This window comes from Homo sapiens, chromosome 7, assembly GCF_000001405.40.
Source record: "Homo sapiens chromosome 7, GRCh38.p14 Primary Assembly".
In the NCBI taxonomy this organism is placed as follows: domain Eukaryota; kingdom Metazoa; phylum Chordata; class Mammalia; order Primates; family Hominidae; genus Homo; species Homo sapiens.
The window spans coordinates 157,997,455-158,017,686 of NC_000007.14; the positions used below are offsets into that span (position 1 = coordinate 157,997,455).

At 51.0% G+C, this 20,232-nt stretch overlaps 1 protein-coding gene across 10 annotated transcripts in view, besides 8 other annotated features; it reads right to left on the reverse strand.

Annotated features, from left to right (window-relative positions):
* The window catches only part of PTPRN2 (protein tyrosine phosphatase receptor type N2), a 1,048,768-nt gene that overhangs the window by 458,399 nt on the left and 570,137 nt on the right, over nucleotides 1-20,232 (reverse strand). The gene's annotated exons all lie outside the window — the stretch shown is intronic.
* Nucleotides 1,847-2,592: an enhancer, noted in NCBI's record as "H3K4me1 hESC enhancer chr7:157791993-157792738 (GRCh37/hg19 assembly coordinates)". NCBI's record gives its function as "activates a minimal SCP1, AML or CMV promoter by ChIP-STARR-seq in naive H9 embryonic stem cells {active_cell/tissue: H9 hESC(naive)}" and the evidence as "EXISTENCE:reporter gene assay evidence [ECO:0000049][PMID:30033119]".
* Nucleotides 2,622-3,126: an enhancer, noted in NCBI's record as "NANOG hESC enhancer chr7:157792768-157793272 (GRCh37/hg19 assembly coordinates)". NCBI's record gives its function as "activates a minimal SCP1, AML or CMV promoter by ChIP-STARR-seq in naive and primed H9 embryonic stem cells {active_cell/tissue: H9 hESC(naive and primed)}" and the evidence as "EXISTENCE:reporter gene assay evidence [ECO:0000049][PMID:30033119]".
* Nucleotides 2,783-3,077: a silencer, noted in NCBI's record as "tiled region #9311; K562 Repressive non-DNase unmatched - State 21:Repr". NCBI's record gives its function as "represses a minimal TATA promoter and a strong SV40 promoter by Sharpr-MPRA in K562 cells {active_cell/tissue: K562}" and the evidence as "EXISTENCE:reporter gene assay evidence [ECO:0000049][PMID:27701403]".
* Nucleotides 9,413-10,393: an enhancer, noted in NCBI's record as "H3K27ac-H3K4me1 hESC enhancer chr7:157799559-157800539 (GRCh37/hg19 assembly coordinates)". NCBI's record gives its function as "activates a minimal SCP1, AML or CMV promoter by ChIP-STARR-seq in primed H9 embryonic stem cells {active_cell/tissue: H9 hESC(primed)}" and the evidence as "EXISTENCE:reporter gene assay evidence [ECO:0000049][PMID:30033119]".
* Nucleotides 10,394-11,373: an enhancer, noted in NCBI's record as "H3K27ac-H3K4me1 hESC enhancer chr7:157800540-157801519 (GRCh37/hg19 assembly coordinates)". NCBI's record gives its function as "activates a minimal SCP1, AML or CMV promoter by ChIP-STARR-seq in primed H9 embryonic stem cells {active_cell/tissue: H9 hESC(primed)}" and the evidence as "EXISTENCE:reporter gene assay evidence [ECO:0000049][PMID:30033119]".
* Nucleotides 12,607-13,169: an enhancer, noted in NCBI's record as "H3K27ac-H3K4me1 hESC enhancer chr7:157802753-157803315 (GRCh37/hg19 assembly coordinates)". NCBI's record gives its function as "activates a minimal SCP1, AML or CMV promoter by ChIP-STARR-seq in primed H9 embryonic stem cells {active_cell/tissue: H9 hESC(primed)}" and the evidence as "EXISTENCE:reporter gene assay evidence [ECO:0000049][PMID:30033119]".
* Nucleotides 18,221-18,880: an enhancer, noted in NCBI's record as "H3K27ac-H3K4me1 hESC enhancer chr7:157808367-157809026 (GRCh37/hg19 assembly coordinates)". NCBI's record gives its function as "activates a minimal SCP1, AML or CMV promoter by ChIP-STARR-seq in naive H9 embryonic stem cells {active_cell/tissue: H9 hESC(naive)}" and the evidence as "EXISTENCE:reporter gene assay evidence [ECO:0000049][PMID:30033119]".
* Nucleotides 18,881-19,540: an enhancer, noted in NCBI's record as "NANOG-H3K27ac-H3K4me1 hESC enhancer chr7:157809027-157809686 (GRCh37/hg19 assembly coordinates)". NCBI's record gives its function as "activates a minimal SCP1, AML or CMV promoter by ChIP-STARR-seq in naive H9 embryonic stem cells {active_cell/tissue: H9 hESC(naive)}" and the evidence as "EXISTENCE:reporter gene assay evidence [ECO:0000049][PMID:30033119]".

Sequence of the window (20,232 nt, forward strand, 5' to 3'; positions counted from 1 at the left end):
TTCCTCCCACACAGCCAGTCATTCCTGCCATCCACACTGGCCCTGCAAGGGCTGGAAGGGCCACAGGTGGGCCTCACTCAAGAGGGAAGGACCAGGGAGGAGAAGGGAGCCACATTAGCCTGGCTGGGTGGGCAAAGCCACGTCAGCAGCCAGAATGTCCCTGCAGATAAACGTGGGGGGAGGCATGACAGAAAGCCGGGTTTCTACAGAAAGAGGAGGCCAGGGAGGGGCAGAGCCTGGGGGGAGGAGTGCAGGGAGGGGCAGGCAGAGACCAGTGGGTCATAGGGACCCTGTGGAGCCCCCAGACCAGCCCCTGCACAGAGGAGAGGAATGTGGGGCCGGAGGAATGGAGTGCAGGGGAGATGAGTGCACGGGAGAGGAGTGCAGGGGAGTGGAGTGCAGGGCTGGGGGAGAGTAGTGCAGGGGAGAGTAGTGCAGGGCAGGGGGAGAGGAGTGTGGGGCTGGGGGAGAGGAGTGCAGGGGAGAGGAGTGCAGGGAGGTGGGGAGAGGAGTGTGGGGCTGGGGGAGAGGAGTGCAGGGGAGAGGAGTGCAGAGGAGAGGAGTGCAGGGTGGGGGGAGAGGAGTGCAGGGTGGGGGGAGAGGAGTGCAGGGTGGGGGGAGAGGAGTGCAGGGGAGAGGAGTACAGGGCGAGGGGGAGAGGAGTGTGGGGCTGGGGGAGAGGAATGCAGGGCCCGGGAAAAGGACTGCAGGGCCAAGGGAGAGGCCCAGGGCCCGGGCTGCAGCCTGGCTTCAGCTTTTACCCGGCAGCCTCAGAGCTCTACTTTTAATTAAGTGCCTTACCAAATAATTAATTTGTACTCCTCTGTGGAATAGGAAAAGAGCCATGAAATAATTAAAGAATTAAAACACTAGCTCAGAGCCAGGAGCAGCAGTCAGGGCTGGCCCGGAGGCTCCTGGGCTCTGACCACGCCATCCATCCGCTGAGGACAGCAGACCACCTGCGTGAGACGCGGAGGAGCAGCAGCTCTGCCGTGAGAGGAGCCCGTGTCCAGCCTCCAACGTAGATGCTGTGTTGGACAGAGTCTAAATGTAGACCGAATAAGCTACCTCACATTTCAAGCTCAGTAAATGTAATGTTTAATCACACCTGTAATCCCAGCACTTTAGGAGGCCGAGGCAAGTGGATCACCTGAAGTCAGGAGATCGAGACCATCCTGGCCAACATGGTGAAACCCCATCTCTACTAAAAATACAAAAATTAGCTGGGTGTGTTGGCAGGCACCTGCAATCCCAGCTACTCGGGATGCTGTGGCAGGCAAATACTTGAATCTGGGAGGTGGAGCTTGCAGTGAGCAGAGATTGCACCACTGCACTCTAGCCTGGGTGACAGATACTCCATCTCAAAAAAAAAAAAAAAAAAAACTCTACTTCAAGTTGTAATTCTGAGATTTTGAAGCACGTTTGGCTGGACTCCATCCTTCATGCCCCACGTAAGAGGGTTGTGTTCTGGGTAGAGAAGTCATCTTTGTGCGGGGTGCGAGGCATCCGGGGGCCAGGGGACTGTGAGCTGCAGCAACAGTGACCCCTACAGTGCTGACAGTGTGGGGCGGTCCCGGGTCCGATCCTGGCTGTTCCTCCGAGCGGCCGTAGGGGTCCGCCCTGGCCCCTACACTATGCCCACCAAGAGGACCTCCTGTAAACGTGAGCCTCATGCCAGAGAACCCACAGCCAGCCCCTCACACCCCTGCACTGACCGGCTTTTATTTCCAGCCTAAAAGAAGAGAAGGCAGATTTAGTTGCCTGAACACAAACCCTCCTTCTCCCTCGCTCAAGCCATCAGGGGGTTCTAGTCGGCTTGTCCACTCTCATCTCCTTTAAATAAACAGCAAAACCGTTTTCACAACTCAGCTCCCAATGTGAAATTAGTTTCATGGTGACTGAGCACCGTGTGCTGCCCGAATTTCTCACCAACCTCAGACGCTCTCGTTTTCACGTGCCACGGAGCTACACAAAGATAAAGCAGCCCAATAAAGACCCGGCTGAAGGCTTTTGTGTTCTCTCACTCTTGCCCACTTACCCTGCGTTTTCCACCAACACAGGCAGGGGAAAGCTTGGCCTGGGAACCTGAGTTCTGGGACCTGCTCCCTGGCTGGACTTGCTGGCACCCACCGGAGATGAGGCCTCCAGGAAACCTGTCATCGGGAGACTCGTCCACACGACGAGACCAGGGGGAAGAGGTGCTGTCTGCAGCTGTTCTCCGCGAGTCCCTGGCCCACCTGATAACGAGTTCCGTAACTGGAAACATCAAGGTGGGGGTGTGGGTCTGAGACTTCACTGCACTTTATTAAATCTCAGCCACTCAAAGGTGGGGTGCAGACTGGGGTTCGCAGCTCCGACATACCACACTTGATCTCAGATGTTTACCTGATGAACTTTGGCCTCTGGTTTTTATTTTTACTTTTTTTTTTTATTTTTCATTATTATTTTTTGAGTCAGAGTCTCACTGTGTCACCCAGGCTGGAGTGCAATGGCAGGATCTCAGCTCACTGCAACCTCCACCTCCCAGGTTCAAGTGATTCTGATGCCTCAGCCTCGCGAGAAGCTGGGATTACAGGTGAGTGCCACCATGCCCGGCTAATTTCTGTATTTTTAGTAGGGATGGGGCTTCACCATGTTGGCCAGGCTGGTCTTGAACTCCTGACCTCAAATGATCCACCCGCCTTGGCCTCCCGAAGTGCTGGGATTACAGGCATGAGTCACCTTGCCCAACCTAGTTTTTATTTTTTTAATTAACTGCTTGCCTCACTAATAAAACTTCTCTTTTGCCAAAGGATGCTTCTCAGGTTGCATTCCCCAGTCAGGGGAATAACCAGAGGATTAAAACAAAAGGTTAAAGTGATCACTTCAAAAACAATTGCCAAGGCCCGTAAGAGAAGGGTTTAAAAGCCCCAGGGCCATGCTTGGTTTCAGGCCAGAGGGTTCTCAGCTGGAATCACCCAACACGTGAAAGCCGTGGAGAGGCCGGGATGAAAGCACCTGGTCACCACTAACGCCCTGCACACCTTTCCTTCTTCCTCCTCCTCTTTATTTCTTAACAGGAAGCTGCCTGACATTTCGGCTTTGAGGTCTACTGGGAAGCATGACTGAAGTTGGGGTGCAGGGTGGGGGCTGGTGTCCGGCCGCAGGTGGGGAGCAGGGTGGGGCTGGGGTCGGGCCGCAGGTGGGGAGCAGGGTGGGGGCTGGTGTCCGGCCGCAGGTGGGGTGCAGGGTGGGGGCTGGGGTTTGGCCGCAGGTGGGGTGCAGGGTGGGGGCTGGGGTTTGGCCGCAGGTGGGGAGCAGGGTGGGGCTGGTGTCTGGCCGCAGGTGGGGTGCAGGGTGGGGGCTGGGGTTTGGCCGCAGGTGGGGTGCAGGGTGGGGGCTGGGGTTTGGCCGCAGGTGGGGAGCAGGGTGGGGCTGGTGTCTGGCCGCAAGTGGGGTGCAGGGTGGGGGCTGGGGTTTGGCCGCAGGTGGGGTGCAGGGTGGGGGCTGGGGTTTGGCCGCAGGTGGGGAGCAGGGTGGGGCTGGTGTCTGGCCACAGGTGGGGTGCAGGGTGGGGGGTGGGGTTTGGCCGCAGGTGGGGTGCATGGTGGGGGCTGGGGTTTGACCGCAGGTGGGGAGCAGGGTGGGGCTGGTGTCTGGCCGCAGGTGGGGTGCAGGGTGGGGGCTGGGGTTTGGCCGCAGGTGGGGTGCAAGGTGGGGCTGGGGTTTGGCCGCAGGTCTGGTGCAACGTGGGGCTGGGGTCGGGCCGCAGGCGGGGTGAAGGGTGGGGGCTGGGATCTGGCCGTAGGTGGGGTACAGGGTGGGGCTGAGGTTCGGCCACAGGTAGAGAGCAGAGGGCCTTCTCCCACAGGCCTGCTCTTGGCTGTGCATGTCACAGAGGGGACCACACTCCACACTCACAGCAACCCAGAGGTAGAGTTCACGTGCAAAGAATGGGAAGCTGGAGCCTTAAATAATTTGCCTAAGTTCAGGCAGCAGCAAAAGCCAGAGCCAGAATCTGGAAGCAGGTACAGCTGATTCCAAACCTACCTCCTATACCCATGACCCCTCAGGACCACAGGGCCTGAGTCCACGGCTGGGGACGTGCACAGCAGGGGGACCTGAGGACCGGGAGGGCGGCACTTCAGCCTCACGGGCGCTCCCACCATGCAGACAGACGCAGGCAGTGTAGTAGATGGTAAAACGGCCGAAAACCATCAGCAGCCTCAGGACCGCCCTGTCATGATGCCAACTCCCAATCCGTGCTGAGAGCCCGGCACTGCCTCAGGGAGATTAGCAAACACTTTTCATCTGTTTATACACAAACAGCAGGCATGGGCCCGCTGGCCTTCCAGGAACATGAGTCTGCGTGACTGGCTGTTGTGCCCTCACCCGGAACCGTGCCAGGCACCGAGGAGGTGCTCAGTAAACTATGGGGTTGCATCGTATTTGAGGTCATCCGGAGGCACCCGCTGCTGCACTGGGACTCCTGGAGATCCTCCTCCAGCCGGAAGCTGGCCAAGCTGTCTCCAGGTCCTGGGATCACGTTGTTTCAGTGGAGACGATGGCCGCCAGCTTCAGATTCAGAAATGGCACTTAGTGCCTCTTCCCTTGGAGTCACCTCGGGTGACATGGGGTGGCCCCCATGGCCAGCACTGACCAGCTCTGCCCCCCACCGAGGCGGGAGCCACATCTCACCACCAAATGCCCTTTTATGGGAACTGAGGTGCAAAGCGGGGGCTTGAGGCAAGCAGCCCCCGCGGGAAACACGGCGTGGTCATCAGGCGAGTGCTGCCTTAGAGACCCGCCCCCTGCAGAGGCTGTGCTCTGGATGGTCACTCACTCACCCCTTTATTAAGAGTTGGTTCTACGGAGGATGAGAGAGGCAGGGACGTGTTTTGGGAGAAGGTCATATGAAAAATTAGTGCCACAGAGTTTCGGCCCCTAAAAAGCTTCCAGTTTCACGGTGAGGGGAAATGTTGTAAACTAAAACCTCTGGTGGGGAGAGTCACTTTTGTTGCCCGAATCCCCAGTACAGTGGACGGCGCCTCGTGAGCCGGATGGCAACCTGGCCAGCATGCAGTGAAGGAACAACGGGGCCAAATGCCGCAGGTGTGGATGAGGGAGAAAACAAAAGCTCCCACTGCGCCCCTCCCTCCCTGGAGCTTAGGGTTCATCTGAGGGGTGAAGAGGAGGATGTGAAGGACACCACGGGGGTCAGGGAGCCTGGGAAATGTCCAGGAATCCTGGGGCCGGGGCCTGCTCCCTGGAAGCAGATCTGAGGACGTTTCGGGCAGGTCAGCTGCAGCGAGAGAAATGGACTTGCCGGGGAGGAACTCCCGGCTGCCTCAAAGCTCAGCAGGTCCACGGAGCAGGAGCCACACAAGGCTCTTCAACAAGCCCCGTGAGGTGGGGAGCTGGCCTGGACCACCCTGGCGTGGACACGGCTGGGCTGGATCTCATCTGTGGAACTCCTGGCAGGAGATGGAGTGCCCTGGTCCTGGCCGGGGTTTGGCAGCACAAGTGGGGGTCTGCTACAGGCCGCTTGGATCCAGGGGAGGAGGAAAGAGCACAGGAGAGGGCAGGAGATGTTTGGCTTCTGTCATGAGCTGACCTGTGTCCCCCAAAATCCACAGGGGAAGCCCTGAACCCTCATGTGACTGTACTTGGGGACAGGGCCTCTAAAGAGGTAAAGGTAAGGCCGGGCGCGGTGGCTCACGCCTGTAATCCCAGCACTTTGGGAGGCCGAGACGGGCGGATCACGAGGTCAGGAGATCGAGACCATCTTGGCTAACACGGTGAAACCCCGTTTCTACTAAAAATACAAAAAATTAGCCGGGCGTGTTGGCGGGCGCCTGTAGTCCCAGCTACTTGGGAGGCTGAGGCAGGAGAATGGCATGAACCTGGGAGGCGGAGCTTGCAGTGAGCCGAGATCGCGCCACTGCACTCCAACCTGGGAGACACAGCGAGACTCCGTCTCAAAAAAAAAAAAAAAAAAAAATGAGGTCCTGAGGGGGCCCCAATCCAATAGGACCTGTGTTCTTCAGGAAGAGGAAGAGACACACAGCCTGCATCTACACAGAAGGACAGCCCCTGAGGACGTGGCCACGACGCAGCCACCGTGAGCCAGGGAATGCGGCCCCAGGAACAAGCCCTGCCCACAGGCGTCCCAGACCCAGGCCTTGGGGACTGCAGAGGATGGATGTCTGCCCCACCTGTGGGGCTTCACCGTGGCCACCCGAGCTGACTGACAGGGGTGGGGAAGCACGCCATCCGGGCTCCAGCCCTGCGGTTGGCGGGATCCAGGTTTCTTGGTGGTGGCGAGCTTCTCACATGGGCTTGGCGGCACCTCCCAACACGCCAAGGCCAGTGGTAAAACGGGCCTCTGCTTTTTTTAAAGAATAGCTTGTCTAATGACTCTGAGAGCATCTATTAATTTCATCACTGTTGCCGACTTAATCAGCAAACTTCATTTACAATTCCACAAGCTACGAAAAATCATTTGCTACTGTCATAGCAGTATAGGAAACGTGTCAGCACCTTGGGAGCCTGGCCAGTGTTTCATTTCACTGAGTTCCAGAAGACTCCGGCTCTCGGATGGGAGCAGCCCCCATGGCTGCTTTTCGGCTCCTCGTTTGGAAAACTTGGTGACTCTCTAAGGTGATAGGAAAAGCAAAAATTGCTCTGTTAATGCTTCCAGTGCCCAATTTGGGAGTAAAGAATGGGTTTTATCACCAAAAAGAAGACTTCACATGATGTTTCTGCCTGAGAGAAGTAGGCAGGGTCTAGGGGCCATCCTAGCCTCCTCCCATCCCAGAGGATGAGAGAGGGAACCGCCCACTTCCTGTGTGGCCCCAGGACTCAGAGCTACCCTCAATGGCACCCGAATTTTATTCCTAACCCCTCCCAGATGCTTCCTGTGTGTCCACAGCTGGGTGGTGGTTCTAGTTTTAGGTTTTTTATATTTAAAAAACCAGCAGATTAAAAAATTAACCAGCATCTATTTTTAAAGAACTGCATGCATTCCTTTGCTATAAATAACACCTTAGTGGACTCTAAAAAAAGTAATTCAAAACAATCCTTTTTCACTGGGTTTGCTGCTTGTTTACATTATATTTCTCTGAGATAACAGAAAGAGGCACATCTTATCACTTTCCTGACAGTTTCATTTTCAGGATCTGATAATGCTATGTGTGCTTATATGGAAAATATTGATCCCACTATACTCTGCTCTTCCTAAATTTTTCATTTTTTAAAAAATTCATGACAGTATTTGATTCCCAGAGGTTTTACAAACCATCTCCTTCAAGCAAATGCATGTAAATTTCACTTCTGTGACTCTGAGTTCATTTTTAAAGAATGGTTTTAGAAAATCTTCTTCTACTTTGCCAAATTTCATCTTTAAAATGCTTGTTTCTGTTCCTCTCATGATAATGGTAATGTTTATGATGGCTGATTTTAAAACCTCTTAGGGTATGAAGTGTGTTGTAGAAATGCTAAATGCTAATAGATACATAAACAGTAAGATGGAAGCGGGAGAAACACACACCTCCCCCTTTCCTCACAAGCCTCAGCATTTCCGGCTTGAGAAAATCGGCCTGGCACCCATGAAGTACCTGCGGTCTGAGCTGTGTGGCCACTATTTTTTTTTTTTTTTCGAGACGGAGTCTTGCTCTTGTTGCCCAGGCTGGAGTGCAATGGTGTGATCTCGGCTCACCACAACCTCCACCTCCTGGATTCAAGCAATTCTCCTGCCTCAGTCTGCCGAGTAGCTGGGATTACAGGCGTGAGCCACCACACTTGGCGAATTTTGTATTTTTAGTAGAGATGGGGTTTCTCCATGTTGGTCAGGCTGGTCTCGAACTCCCGACCTCATGTGATCCGCTCAACTCAGCCTCCCAAAGTGCTGGGATTACAGGCGTGAGCCACCGCACCCAGTCGTGGTCACTCTTAAGGTGGGTGCAGCTTATGGTGGCGAATATGGAAAGGTTACTATTGGCTTTCGCTGATTTCTTTAAAAAAAAATGCAAAGAGAAAGGTCACTAAGCAAAAGACCTAAGCTGGTTTGGAATTCACTAATCTAACACTGGCTAGAGTTTAAAAAGTAGGGGCTAGTAAAGCCCACTTGATATGCACAAAATAAGATTAGCTGCAGCGTTTTGCTGTCCACGTTGTCTTAGAGAGCTGGAAGATGGGGTGCAGGGGGAGGTGCAGGGCAGGAAGCATCTGCGGTGAGGCCTCTGGTCAGTCACTGCACAGCTGGAGAAGGCTCAGGTGGTGCTCGTGGCCCACGAGGGGTTCTCCCCAGAAGAGACAGGAAGGGCCCACCGTGGTTTCCCACAGCAATGTCCTCATGCACGCTGAGGCACACATCTTACGTGGATGCTGTTAGTATTCAGTACACTGCGTCTAAAATGCACGTGTGTGCAAATGCGTGTCTCTAGTGCACTCAGAGTGGGAAGTCTGCACGGCTCCTTTTAACTCTATGGGATCATGAAGGAAAGTAAAACCTTAGAGGCTGAGGGGTTTCTGCCTGCATCTGAATTTCTTTGGAATGCTCATGTCAAATCTGATGGAAAGGTGGTACTAGCAGCAGCCACTGCCCAAATAAACATGTTCAAAGCTCCTTTTCACCAAGGCTTCTGCTGTGAACCTCTCCCTTCTTGGGGCACCTGCTGCCCCTTCCTCCTGCCTCTCCTGGGGCAGCACAGGCACCTGCAACCAACTTACGGAGTTTTGCAGATGTGACACCCTAAGAAAGCAGCCAACACTGTGTTCCTCGTGGAATTACTGAGTTCACATCCCTTTTCCTTTTTAGAGAGACAGATCCTATAGGCAGCATGAATGGAAATGCAAAGACTCCATCGATTTTTACCAACTTTTCCAAGGAAAGTCCAAATCATGTTTGCTCCTCCATGGTGGTACAGTTCAGTGCCAGCCTGGTCTGGCCCTGGAGCCTTCTTTTGGCATCCAGAACATCTCCCTGACAACCCAGAAACACAGCTGACCTCCTGCCATCCTGAGCCTCACAAGCTTGCTGGACACCTGCGGTGAGTCCCAGCAAGGGTGAGTCCCAGCGCCAGGCAAAGATCTGGCGAGGGAAGAGCCGCCCGGGATGCAGACACACTTATCACTCACTTGCCATTTCCACAACCTCATTTCTTTGCAGCTGTGGACGGCAATGGCTTCCTTAAGGGCCATCCCACCCCTATGGAGATAGATGCCAGGGCTTGGGAGCCACCTGGTGTGGCTGTGCACGCTGAGTGTCCTTGTCACTCAGAGGAAGGTAGGCCCAGGGTCCCTTAGGCCAAGAGACTTGTTTGGGTCTGACTGGGGCCACCCTGGCTGTACCCACATTTCCAAAAGTAAACCTGTAACGCATCATGTCTCAAAGACAGGAAACCCCATGGACACCCCAGCTCCATCATGCGGTCATGACATTTTGGACCAGGAGGGCCTCCTGTGTGGTCCTCTGGCGGGAAGCCTGCTAGTCTCCCTAGGGCTGCCCTAACAAGCCTCACAGCCTGAGCGGCTCAAACAACAGAAATGTACTCCGTCACAGTTCTGGGGGCTGAAGTCTGAGGTCCGGGCTTCGGTTTCTCCTGAGACTGCGCAGGCTGGCGGGCGGCCGTCTCCTCCTGTGTCCTCACGTGGCTTCTTCTCCAGTGTCTCTTCTTTCAAGGACACCAGTCCTGCTGGAGCCAGGCCCACCCCACGACCTCACATAACCTCAATCGCCTCCTGAAAGACACTTTCTCCAAATACAGTCGCCTTATGCGGCCCCGGGTGTTGGCGCTTCCCAGGTGAACTTGGGGAACACACGTCAGCCCATCCCAGGTGGAGCTGCGGCAGTGCGGGGTGTGGCTGGTGCTGGGGGTGGGCAGGAAGGGTAAGCAGGGGACGAGGGATCAGAGGCAGGAGGTGTCCTGGCCCTAACATTTCCTTTGCTTCTCGTAAACCTCACCTGAGCCCACCCAACACCAAGGCCACATCAAGGAGAGAGGACAAGGGGAGAGTGATCACAGGGTGTGACAGTGATGGAGGGGACCCAGACGCAGGGACTACGGAGGGCAGTGGGGCCTCACAGGGCACCTCCCACAGGGAGCAGAGAGCGGACGATGGCCGGTGGTGATGAGATGTGGCCCTGCTGTGGAGGAAGCGCCAGGTGCATCTGATGAAGGCATGAAGACACAGAAGGGGACAGGAAGGGGCTAGAAAGAAAAGTATCACAGTCAGCCTGGTCCCTATGCTGTGTGCACGTGCATGTGTGTGTATGTATCTGGGTGTGTGCATTGCATGTGTGTGAGGGTGTGTGTGGCTGTGCTATGTGTGAGGGTGTGCTGTGTGTGGCTGTGTGTGGGTGGGTGTGCTGTATGTGTGTGGGTATATACATGTGGGGGTGTGTGGGTGTGTGTGTGCTGCATGTGTGTGGATGCATGCATGTGCACGTGTGTGTATGTATCTGGTTGTGTGCATTGCACGTGTGTGAGGGTGTGTGTGGCTGTGCTGTGTGTGGGGGTGTGGGTGTGTAGGTGGGTGTGCTTTGTGTATATGTGGGGTATGTACTTGTGCACGTGTGAGTGTGTGTGCTGTGTGTGGGGGTGTGGGTGTGTGTGGAGGTGTGCTGTGTGTGGGTGTGCTGTGTGTGGGTGTGGGTGTGCTGTGTGTGGGGGTGTGCTGTGTGTGTGGGTGTGTACATGTACACATGTGTGAGTGTGTGTGGGTGTGCTGTGTGTGGGGTGTGCATTGCACGTGTATGTGTGTGGGCATGTGCATACACACTGCCTGATGGGTTCTGAGGAATGAACGGATCCATGAATCAATGATTACACCCACCAAAATTTCTACTGATTGCATGATGGGAAAATATGGAATAATTGCCCATTCTTATTTTCATTTTCAGGAGAAAGAAAACAGGAGTGAGACACCAAAACGCAGGGCTTTGTTTACAGAGAAGGCCGCGGGGGCTCCCCGCCAGGTCTGTGCATTTCAACTCAGTTCTGTCCTTCCTCATAAACAGATGAACCTGTCCCGCGCGCGTGGTGGCGGCTTACACGGCGGAAACACCCTCAGGTGCTTTCTCACTATCAAAGAGCAGCTTAGCATTTATTTCATATTTTTGTCTTCCACTGATTCTTATTTATTTTACAAATTGCACCTGAACAATAAAGGAAGTCATTCCAAAAGCAGCAGCCTGCCCCCCACCAGCAGGCAGCAGTGACGTGTCTCCATGGGGCCTTAAACCTTCAGGGCCACGTTGTGATTTATCTTCACACAGCGCTTGGCGCATGCGGGCCTCTAACGAATGTTTAGAATTTCAGTGACTCTAGTATCACCGTTTTCTTTCTATCTTCTCTTCCACGCACGTGTCTGTCTTTCTCATGGTCTAGTCATTGTAAGTTTGTTTTTTAAAAAGTTTTACTAAGTACATATGCTACTAAATGTGGTGAGTAAATGTTTACTGTTCAATTTTATCACGTTGATATACTCAGACTTCTTCTGAAATGAGACACAGGCTTTCTCCTTTCACCTTTGTTTCCAAGATGCTCTTCCTGCCTCTAGCTCCCCGCACTCCCTGCACTTCCCCGAGGTCACTGCACTCACAGAGCTTCCTATGTGATCAGTTCCACCAGGCATAGCAGGAATTCTTCTCATTTGTCCAAACGAACAGAGCCCCAGGAGGCCCCACCTGGTGCCCGTGACCGACCCCCTCAGTGAACCTGCAAAGGTTCCCATGCACAAGGCGACGCTTCAGACATTTCACCATCTCACTCTCCAGGTCGGACTTGAAAACGCTCTGATCAATGATCAAATCTGCTTCCACCCAATTCAAATGCAAGCAGTTCTGAGGCACGATTATACACAATACGTGCTATTTATTAACCGTCACCACTCAGCTAGGTTCTTTGCCAAGAATTTCCCAAAAGAAGTCTTCATTCTACATAGCAACTTGTTCTTATCCATGGGAAAGATAGTGTCTTATTTTAAATGCAAATGAAGCCGATTCAGCATGTACAAGCAGAACCCGCAAATGAGAGAAATGTTGGTATATGTGATTTGTAAATAACAGCATATTAAAAATATAATAGATAAAATGTTTCCAATGATAAGGCCAGGATTCTTAATAATTGGATAATCTTAATCAAAAATCTTAGATGAGTAAAATTTTCCCACTTAATATAAAAACCACGACATCAAGCTGAGTATAAGGACACATTTAAATTCTGGCCAAAAAGCAAAGCTTATCCTGGGAGTTCCAAACCTCCTTCCTGCCTGGGCACAGCTCTTTCTGGGTATATAGCACATGATAAAGAGATCAATCTTTGAGCTTTGTTGGAAACAGCACACGAGGTAACACCAACCAAGCATTTAAATTTCTGATTTGGATCTATGAGCATTGCTAATGACACACTCACTGCACACTTGAAACTCTTGGATTTCCACACTCATCATCACTGATCTACGCCACGCCATTCCCAGAATTCCCCATGCCATCCTGCCCCACCATGGGCACCAGCCAAACCCACTGAGTAGGCACTGTCTCCCGCCCATCCTTCAAGACCAGGCTGGCCTTTGCCTGCCCCAGACCCTCCACCCTCACTTCCAGCCATGCCCCTGCAGGACCCCGTAGAGCACTTCATCTTGTCCCTGTCCTTGTGGAGGAGGCAGGGGCCTGTGTGAACTGCCCTGCTTACTCCGGCATCCCCAGCAGCCCTCAGCAAGCTCAGCACAAGGTAAAGCCTCAACACGGGAGGACGGAGTTCATTTTCCTCCACTACCACGAGATCCTGGGGGGCCAGGATCCTCCAGGTCCGTCCTTTCCTTCCTCTGCTCACCCATCCACCAGCTCAGCACCTACTTCAGGCCTCAGACGTTGTAGGTGCTACAGAGACATCTAGAGAGTGAACCCACAGACACACAAATAACCTGTGTTTAAAAGTGTGTTAACAGCATTGGGTGGTTCCCAGTGGGGTACACACTACATCATTTCTACACTTGAAAAAGTAAGAATTCCAAGATGGATGGATTTACTCAAAACCTCAGAAACACCACTGACCAGCTACTTCTACAAACATCAGTTCTGTTTTGTCCTGCCCACTGTGCATTTAGGCTAACAGGCAATGAAGAAATCTTGAAACTATGAGAAACTATGGAAAAAAATTCAAGTTTTAAGGAAGATACAGTAGCACCCCATTTATATAGCACCAGTAAAAGTTATTCCAAATAAATATATTTTCAGGGTAACTTAAACTTACCCACATAACACCAGTATGAGAAGTTTATATACTTTAAAAAGTCTATTTTTTAAAAAAGTATTGTTTATTTCTCTGCTGCCTTACACACAGTAAACAAAAGTTAATTTATTCCTGATGACTAAGACTCCTCCTTTAAATTTCAGTGAGGCCTTGGGCCCCCCATGGAGCACCTCAGATGCTGCAAAGACCAGTGGGTCTGCTCCCCCCACTCCAGATGGTCCCAGGTGGGCAGGGGAGGAAGAGCCCCATTTTAACAAGATCTTTCCACTTAGAATAACAATCGCCTCCACGGAGAAGGTTTTAGAAGTTACCAGTTTGTAAACACAGACGGAATCCTGAAATAGGACTGTCACCTTGCACCTTGCACAGAGATCCCAGCAAACACCACAAAGGTGTACAAATGACAGGAAGGTGTGCAGATGACAGAGTGGTCTCTGCTAGGATCTCTGCGGTGATTTTACCCACACAAAACCCCACCTGGGTCTGTACGTCATTGCTAAAGACATCAGATGTGCCTGTTTGATGCTGTGAAAGTTTTTCACATCAGCCCGTCTTCTCACAACATAGAAAGAAGGGGAAATTTACAAAAGAGCATGCCAGAGTCTATGTCTCCCGGTGATTGTTAAAAGTTGGTAGAGGCCTCTTCTCTATCATCTTTGTTTCAAAATCCCTTATGATTTTAACAAATACCAATGGCCTGAATCAAAGATGCACAAAAGATGCACAGGTGTTTGATTTCATTCCAGTTTGAAGCATCCATTCAACCAGAAGAGGGAGCACATGTTTAAAAGAAACCCCCAAACCGTCAGACCATCGTCACCGACGATCACCATATTAAGTGGTAGAAAATGGTACAAATTAAGAACATATCATGATGCTTAGGTTCTTAAGGAGCTATAAGCAAAGGAAGATATAAAATTATATAACACTGAAAGTGAAAATGAAAGTAGGAAACTACACTTTATATTTTGTCCCCTCTGTGGTTTTTGGGAACTTATCCTACAAACTAATAATCGGGGACAAGGGGTTTGAAAAAACTGTCATCTAATTTTCTGTCTCACAGAGGAGTTCCCTCGGACCCACAGAGAAAGTGAGAGCAGATATATGCGAGATGAGTTTTGTTTTTAAAAAGAGAAAAAGAACAATCTTACTCAGAAAAAATCCAGCTGGATTAGTTGGTCATAGATTGTTATTTTACACTGAGGTGCTTTTTCCCCACAGTTCTTTCTTGGTCAAATCATGGTTTCTTTCTTTTTTTGGTTGAAAAACTACAACAATAAGAGATCAAATATTCCATAACTCACCAAAGACTTCAGAATCAACTTGGGTGAGAAGAGCATCCTTTTCTGAATGTGGATGAAGCTGCCCCGATCCCGAGTTTGTAGGAGAGCCATTCGTCCTGAAATTGTTGGATAACTGCTCCCTCCCACTCCTTGGCTGAGAGAGTCCCACGTGTTGGGGGCAAGAACCACACATCTTTGTGCACTGTTCTTAGTGTCTGACACGTGCCTTTCGGAAGCAGATGTTTAAAACAATCTGCTCAGTGAGTGCGTGAATAGGTAAAAGGTTAGGGAATGAAGGGGGAACTGCCGGGGGCTGATACATAGATGACACGACGCTGGCTTTACACACCACATCACGGTGAGACTGACTCCAGCAAGCTTACATCACTCAGACGGCAAATATTTCAAAGAAAAAATCCATAGTGTTTAGTAAGCCACAGAAGAACATTTTAAAGTAAGGAGTAACAAATCTGTATGGAAGAATTTCCAAAATTCACAAAGCGTAGAAAGAAGATTGTTAAAAAGTATGTCCAGTGATTGACTTGGAGTGGGTACGGAGGCATGGGCAGTGGCCCTGGACTGCTGCCTCTGCTGGCACCAGCTCTTATTACCACCGCTTGAAGAACATGGTACATTTGTTTCTCATATAAAAATGTGAAAGCAGGCAGGTCGGGGCTAATATGGGGACTCATCCATGAAGCCCTCCTTTCTCCCCTCTTGAAATTCCCAGGTCACCTCTTGGACCATGGTGTAGCATCAGCTCCGGCCATCACATCTGCATTCCAAGAGCAGGGATGAGAAAGAGAAATGAAGGAGCAAAGGCACATACCTAACCTTCTAGCTGAGATCCACTGGCCACACCTAGATGAAAGGGAGCTGGCAAATGCAGATTTTACTCCAAGTAGGGGTGACTGTGACCCAAATCAAACCCTCAGTTCTATCTCTCCAGAAGAAGAGGAAAGTAGACCTTAGGCTCAGCCACATCTCCATGGAGAGTGGAGGTGGTCAGACAGAAGTAGAGATTTAGAAAAGTTCATGTGCCCATCCTTCCACCCACAGGCGGGATGCCAAGCACTTCCATGTTTGTCCTCTCATATATGACTCGTAAGGCCAGTGAACACCTGTAAGAATCTGAAGGAAAATCAACCATAAAGGAGAAAAGTTAATGTTACCCCCTCAAGCTTAGGAGGGCTTCCATAAGCTGAAGAGCAGGCTCCTTGAGGGAGATACTGGGTTCCTTGAATTCCACTTCAGAATCATGGCCCTGTGCCTTCTTTTCCTGCTTAGCCAGGCAGCTCCCTGCACAGACTTGGCAAGTTTCCAAGAGAGTGTTCATTAATCAGAGCTATTGCAATTGCTGAATATTCTCCAGCAAACCATTCATCTATATATCCATCCATCATCCACCTACACATCCTTCCATTCATCCATCCATTTCTCCATCCATCCCTCCAGCCTGCCTTCCTTCCTTCCTTCCATCCACCCATCCACCCACACATCTACCCATCCATATATCTATCCATCCTCCAATTCATCTGTTCATCCATCCATCCCTCTATCTATTGACCTACCATCTATCCAAACATACATTAATCTACCAATTCACTTGTTCATCTATCCATTCATTCACCCATCTATCCATCCATCATACATCTATCAATCCATCTATCATCCATCATTCATCATCTGTCTATTTACCCATCCATCTCTCCATCCATTCACCCACCCACCCATCCATCCATCCAGCCAGCCACCCACTCATCCACCCACCCGCCCATCCATCCATCCACTCATCCACCTATCCATCCATTCACCCACCCACCCCATCCATCCACCCACCCACTCACCCACCTACCCATCCATCCATCCACCCACCCACCCACCCACTCACCCACCCATCCTTGCATCCACCCACCAGTTTACCTGTTCATCCATCCATCTATCCCTCTATCCATCCATCCAATCACCCACCCATTCATCCATCCACCAACTCACCTATTCATCCATCCATCTACCCCATCCATCATTTGTCTATGCATCCATCCAGCCAGCCACCCATCCATCCACCCACCCACCCACTCACCCACCCATCCTTGCATCCACCCACCAGTTTACCTGTTCATCCATCCATCTATCCCTCTATCCATCCATCCAATCACCCACCCATTCATCCATCCACCAACTCACCTATTCATCCATCCATCTACCCCATCCGTCATTTGTCTATGCATCCATCCAGCCAGCCACCCATCTATTCACCCATTCACCTGTCCATCCATCCATCCCTCCATCCACCCATCTATTCACTCATCTATGCATTCATCAACCAGCATCCATCCACCCATCCATCCCTCATCCATCATTCAGCATCCATCTACCCACACACCCATACATCCATCACTTTACCTGTTTGTTCGTCCATCCATCCACCCATTCATCAAACAATCCACCTGCTCATCTATTCATCCATCCCTCCATCCATCTACCCATCCATCAAACAATTCACTTGTTCATCCAGTCATCCATCCCTCCATCCACGCATCTTTCCAACTACCCATCTATCCATCCACCTACCCATCCATTCAGGAAGCCAGCCATCTTTTCACCCATTCACCCGTTCATTCCTCCTTCCACCCATCCCTCATCCATCCACCCACCTATCCATATCCATCATCCATCATTCATCATCCATCCATCTATTTACCCATCCATTTCTCCCTCTGTCCCTCCATTCATCCATCCATCCACCCATCCGGCCAGCCAGCCAGCCATCTCTTCACCCATTCATCTACTCACCCAACCAACCATCCCTCCACACATTCATCCATCCACCCGTCCATATACCCACACATCCATCCACCACACATCCATCCATCTACCCACCCATTCACCTGTTCATTCATCCATCCATCCCCTACCTATCTCCATCTGTCTTTCCTCTTGTTTCAAAAAAGATTTGATTGTTTTTATCAAGTATTTTTAGTGCAAAAGCTTACTTTCATTTCCTAATTTTTAAGAGAATAAGAACTTCTCCTGAATATCATCTTTTCCCTTTTTGCTCTCTCATTTGTCTCTCTTTTTCTTCCCTTGTATCTTGCAAATCCCTCAGATAAAAGTGGGTTGCTGAAATGAGAGGCTCAGATAGAGCAGAGGGAAACAATTCAGCTCCAGATACCCAGGGGGTCTAGGCGGTCAGCTGACCTTTCTTCATGAGCACTGCAGAGTGCCAGTCTGTGCCTCATTTCTACTCCACGTTGAATCTTTGAATCTAGTGATTTGGTTGTTGATCTTTGAACTTCTCTAAGCCATTATACCTTTAGTTCCCTCTTCCCCACTTGTTCTCTGATTGTTCATTTTGTTTTTAACCTAAAATGAACAAATCCCCTGTCTACCGATTAAAAACTCTGAGGTCTTTTTAGTTAATGTGTGACAAATAGAGAAGAGATGGGGAGAGAGAGGGAAAAAGTGAGAGGAGGGGTGGTGAGAGAGAGAGAGAGAGGAAGAGAGGGAGAGAGGGAGAGAGGGAGATAGAGGGAGGGGTGGGAGGAAGACAGAAAGGTCCTCACCGCCCCCGCCCCTCACCCCTGTATGTGCATCTGGAATCCACTTTCAGGGGAAAGCAGAGCCCTTTCTCTTTACTCACCAGCAGTTCATATTGTTAATTTTTAACTAAAGACAACTGATTTTTGCCAGTAGCAGAGAACGTACGAGGTCTTTCTTCCTATTTTCTGCAATTAAGCAACCAGCTATTATTAGGAGTTCAAAACAAATCACAAACATGTCTGTCTATTACAATTGTCTAATGGTCCCAGGTCCAACACTAAGGGAAACACATCCATTCACTACAGCCTAGTAATTAAGACAAAAATAGACACGGAAGCCGCGATCGAGGAGGAGGGGGAACAAAAGGGTCAGCTTCCGCTAAGAAAGCCTCAGCCACGTCCCTGGGGAAGTTTCATGTCTTTCCTCACACGTGGCAGGGACGGCTGTGGGGTCCCAGTGTGTCACCTGCGTGGCCTTTTCAGGTTCTGGGGGCCTCGGTGGAAAACACGCACAGTGCATGGCCTGACACCCGCTGTTTTTCCTCGTTCAGGGAATAAGAGCCACTCCCAAGAACTCTCATTCAGACTCGTAATCAGCAAATCAACACGGATGCCTCTCAGAGAAAAAACGATGCTTCCGATTTCAGGAGCCCCCTGATGATTCCGAGTCTCTCATACAAGGGAGGTGGGGAGGATGGGCAGGGCTCGGGAGGTCCGGATGACTTTCCCCACGGACACGGGCAGAGTGTCACACTTCACAAGCCACAGATGCCTTGCGTGGCCTGTGTGTGTTTAGACCCCGTCCTGTGCCCCGCCGGGCCCACAGCACAGACGCGCCTGGCTGAAGGGCGAGGGGGAGTGGGCTGTGAGTGTAAGAAAGTCACCAGAGAAGGGCCGAGTCGAGAAGGGGCCACTCAGGGGCCTCCCTGTCCGAGGCGCGGAGCCCAGCATGGCTGACTTCCTCTCTGAAGGTCATTAGAGATGGATCCCAATAAATACACACACACCCATCAGATTAGCAGACCCAACGGTCTCCATGGCAACAATTGGACAAGCAAGTCGCCTGCAATTGGCATTAATTTAAAATATTTTTCCCCGAGTCTCCTTGGAGTCAGTTCCGTGAAACACAAGTGCTTGCCAGCTCTCTAATCTGCGGCGTCCTTTGAAATTCCATCCAGCGTGTGCTGAAGCTGAGCCAATTAACGTGGAGAGAATTGGGTGGATCGCAGAGAAGCTGGCAAGACCGTGTTTACCAATTAGGTTTTTTTTATGATGCAAATGTTGCACACCATGCGGCAGGAATAAAAGCTGGCTACGCTGAATATGAAACTGTTAATTGCATTTTCAGAGACATAGCTACAAGGTGAAACTAATCATACACATGATAACCGGGCTTCACCACCTACAGTGCCCTGCTGCTGCACTCTCACTAATCTGTATTAAAACAGCCCCACACATCCTTGCAGGAAAGGAAAACATTGCGTTTGGTATAACCTTCCAATTTTAAAGAGAAAAAAAGTGTGCCTATGTGGGAAGCAATATAAAGGATAATTTTCATTTAAATCAGATTAATAACGTTAACAAACGCCATGGCAAAGGGCCCAGTGGTGCTTCTTGAAATGCATTTTTTGCTTTAAAACGATAGCAAGGTGCATTTGCAAATGAACGCCAGCACATGCTGACAAGAGTGGCTCAAAATGAAGGAGCTTGTTTCAGAAGAAAGGGCCATGGTAATTATAGACCTTGGCTTTCCCAGCTAGGAACATCAAAGAGGCCCCGCTGGAATCACTAGAGAGAGGCTTCCCAGGGAGTCCAGTGCTCCTGAGGTTCCCAGTGCCCAGCCCCTCCCTGGGGAGGGGAGGATGAGGCCCAGGAGCAGGGAGAAGGGTCTAGGCTCCAGGCTCCATCCCAGTGCTTGGGGGCAGAGAGGGGTGCCCAGGAGCACCTGTGTGCAGGGAGTCCAGGCCTGAACTAGCAGAGGCATTTCTGAAATGGGGTGTGGCTACTTTAAGGGGTGAGGTCAGCTTTCAAAATGCCCCATGAGAATTTATGTCTTTTTCCTCATTTCTATGTTAACCACACAGTTTCAGCATTGATGCTGACGTTGACTAACTCAGCAGCCGAGAACAGGGCTGGGAACAGGAGGGAATGACTGACTCCCCAGCAGCAGCC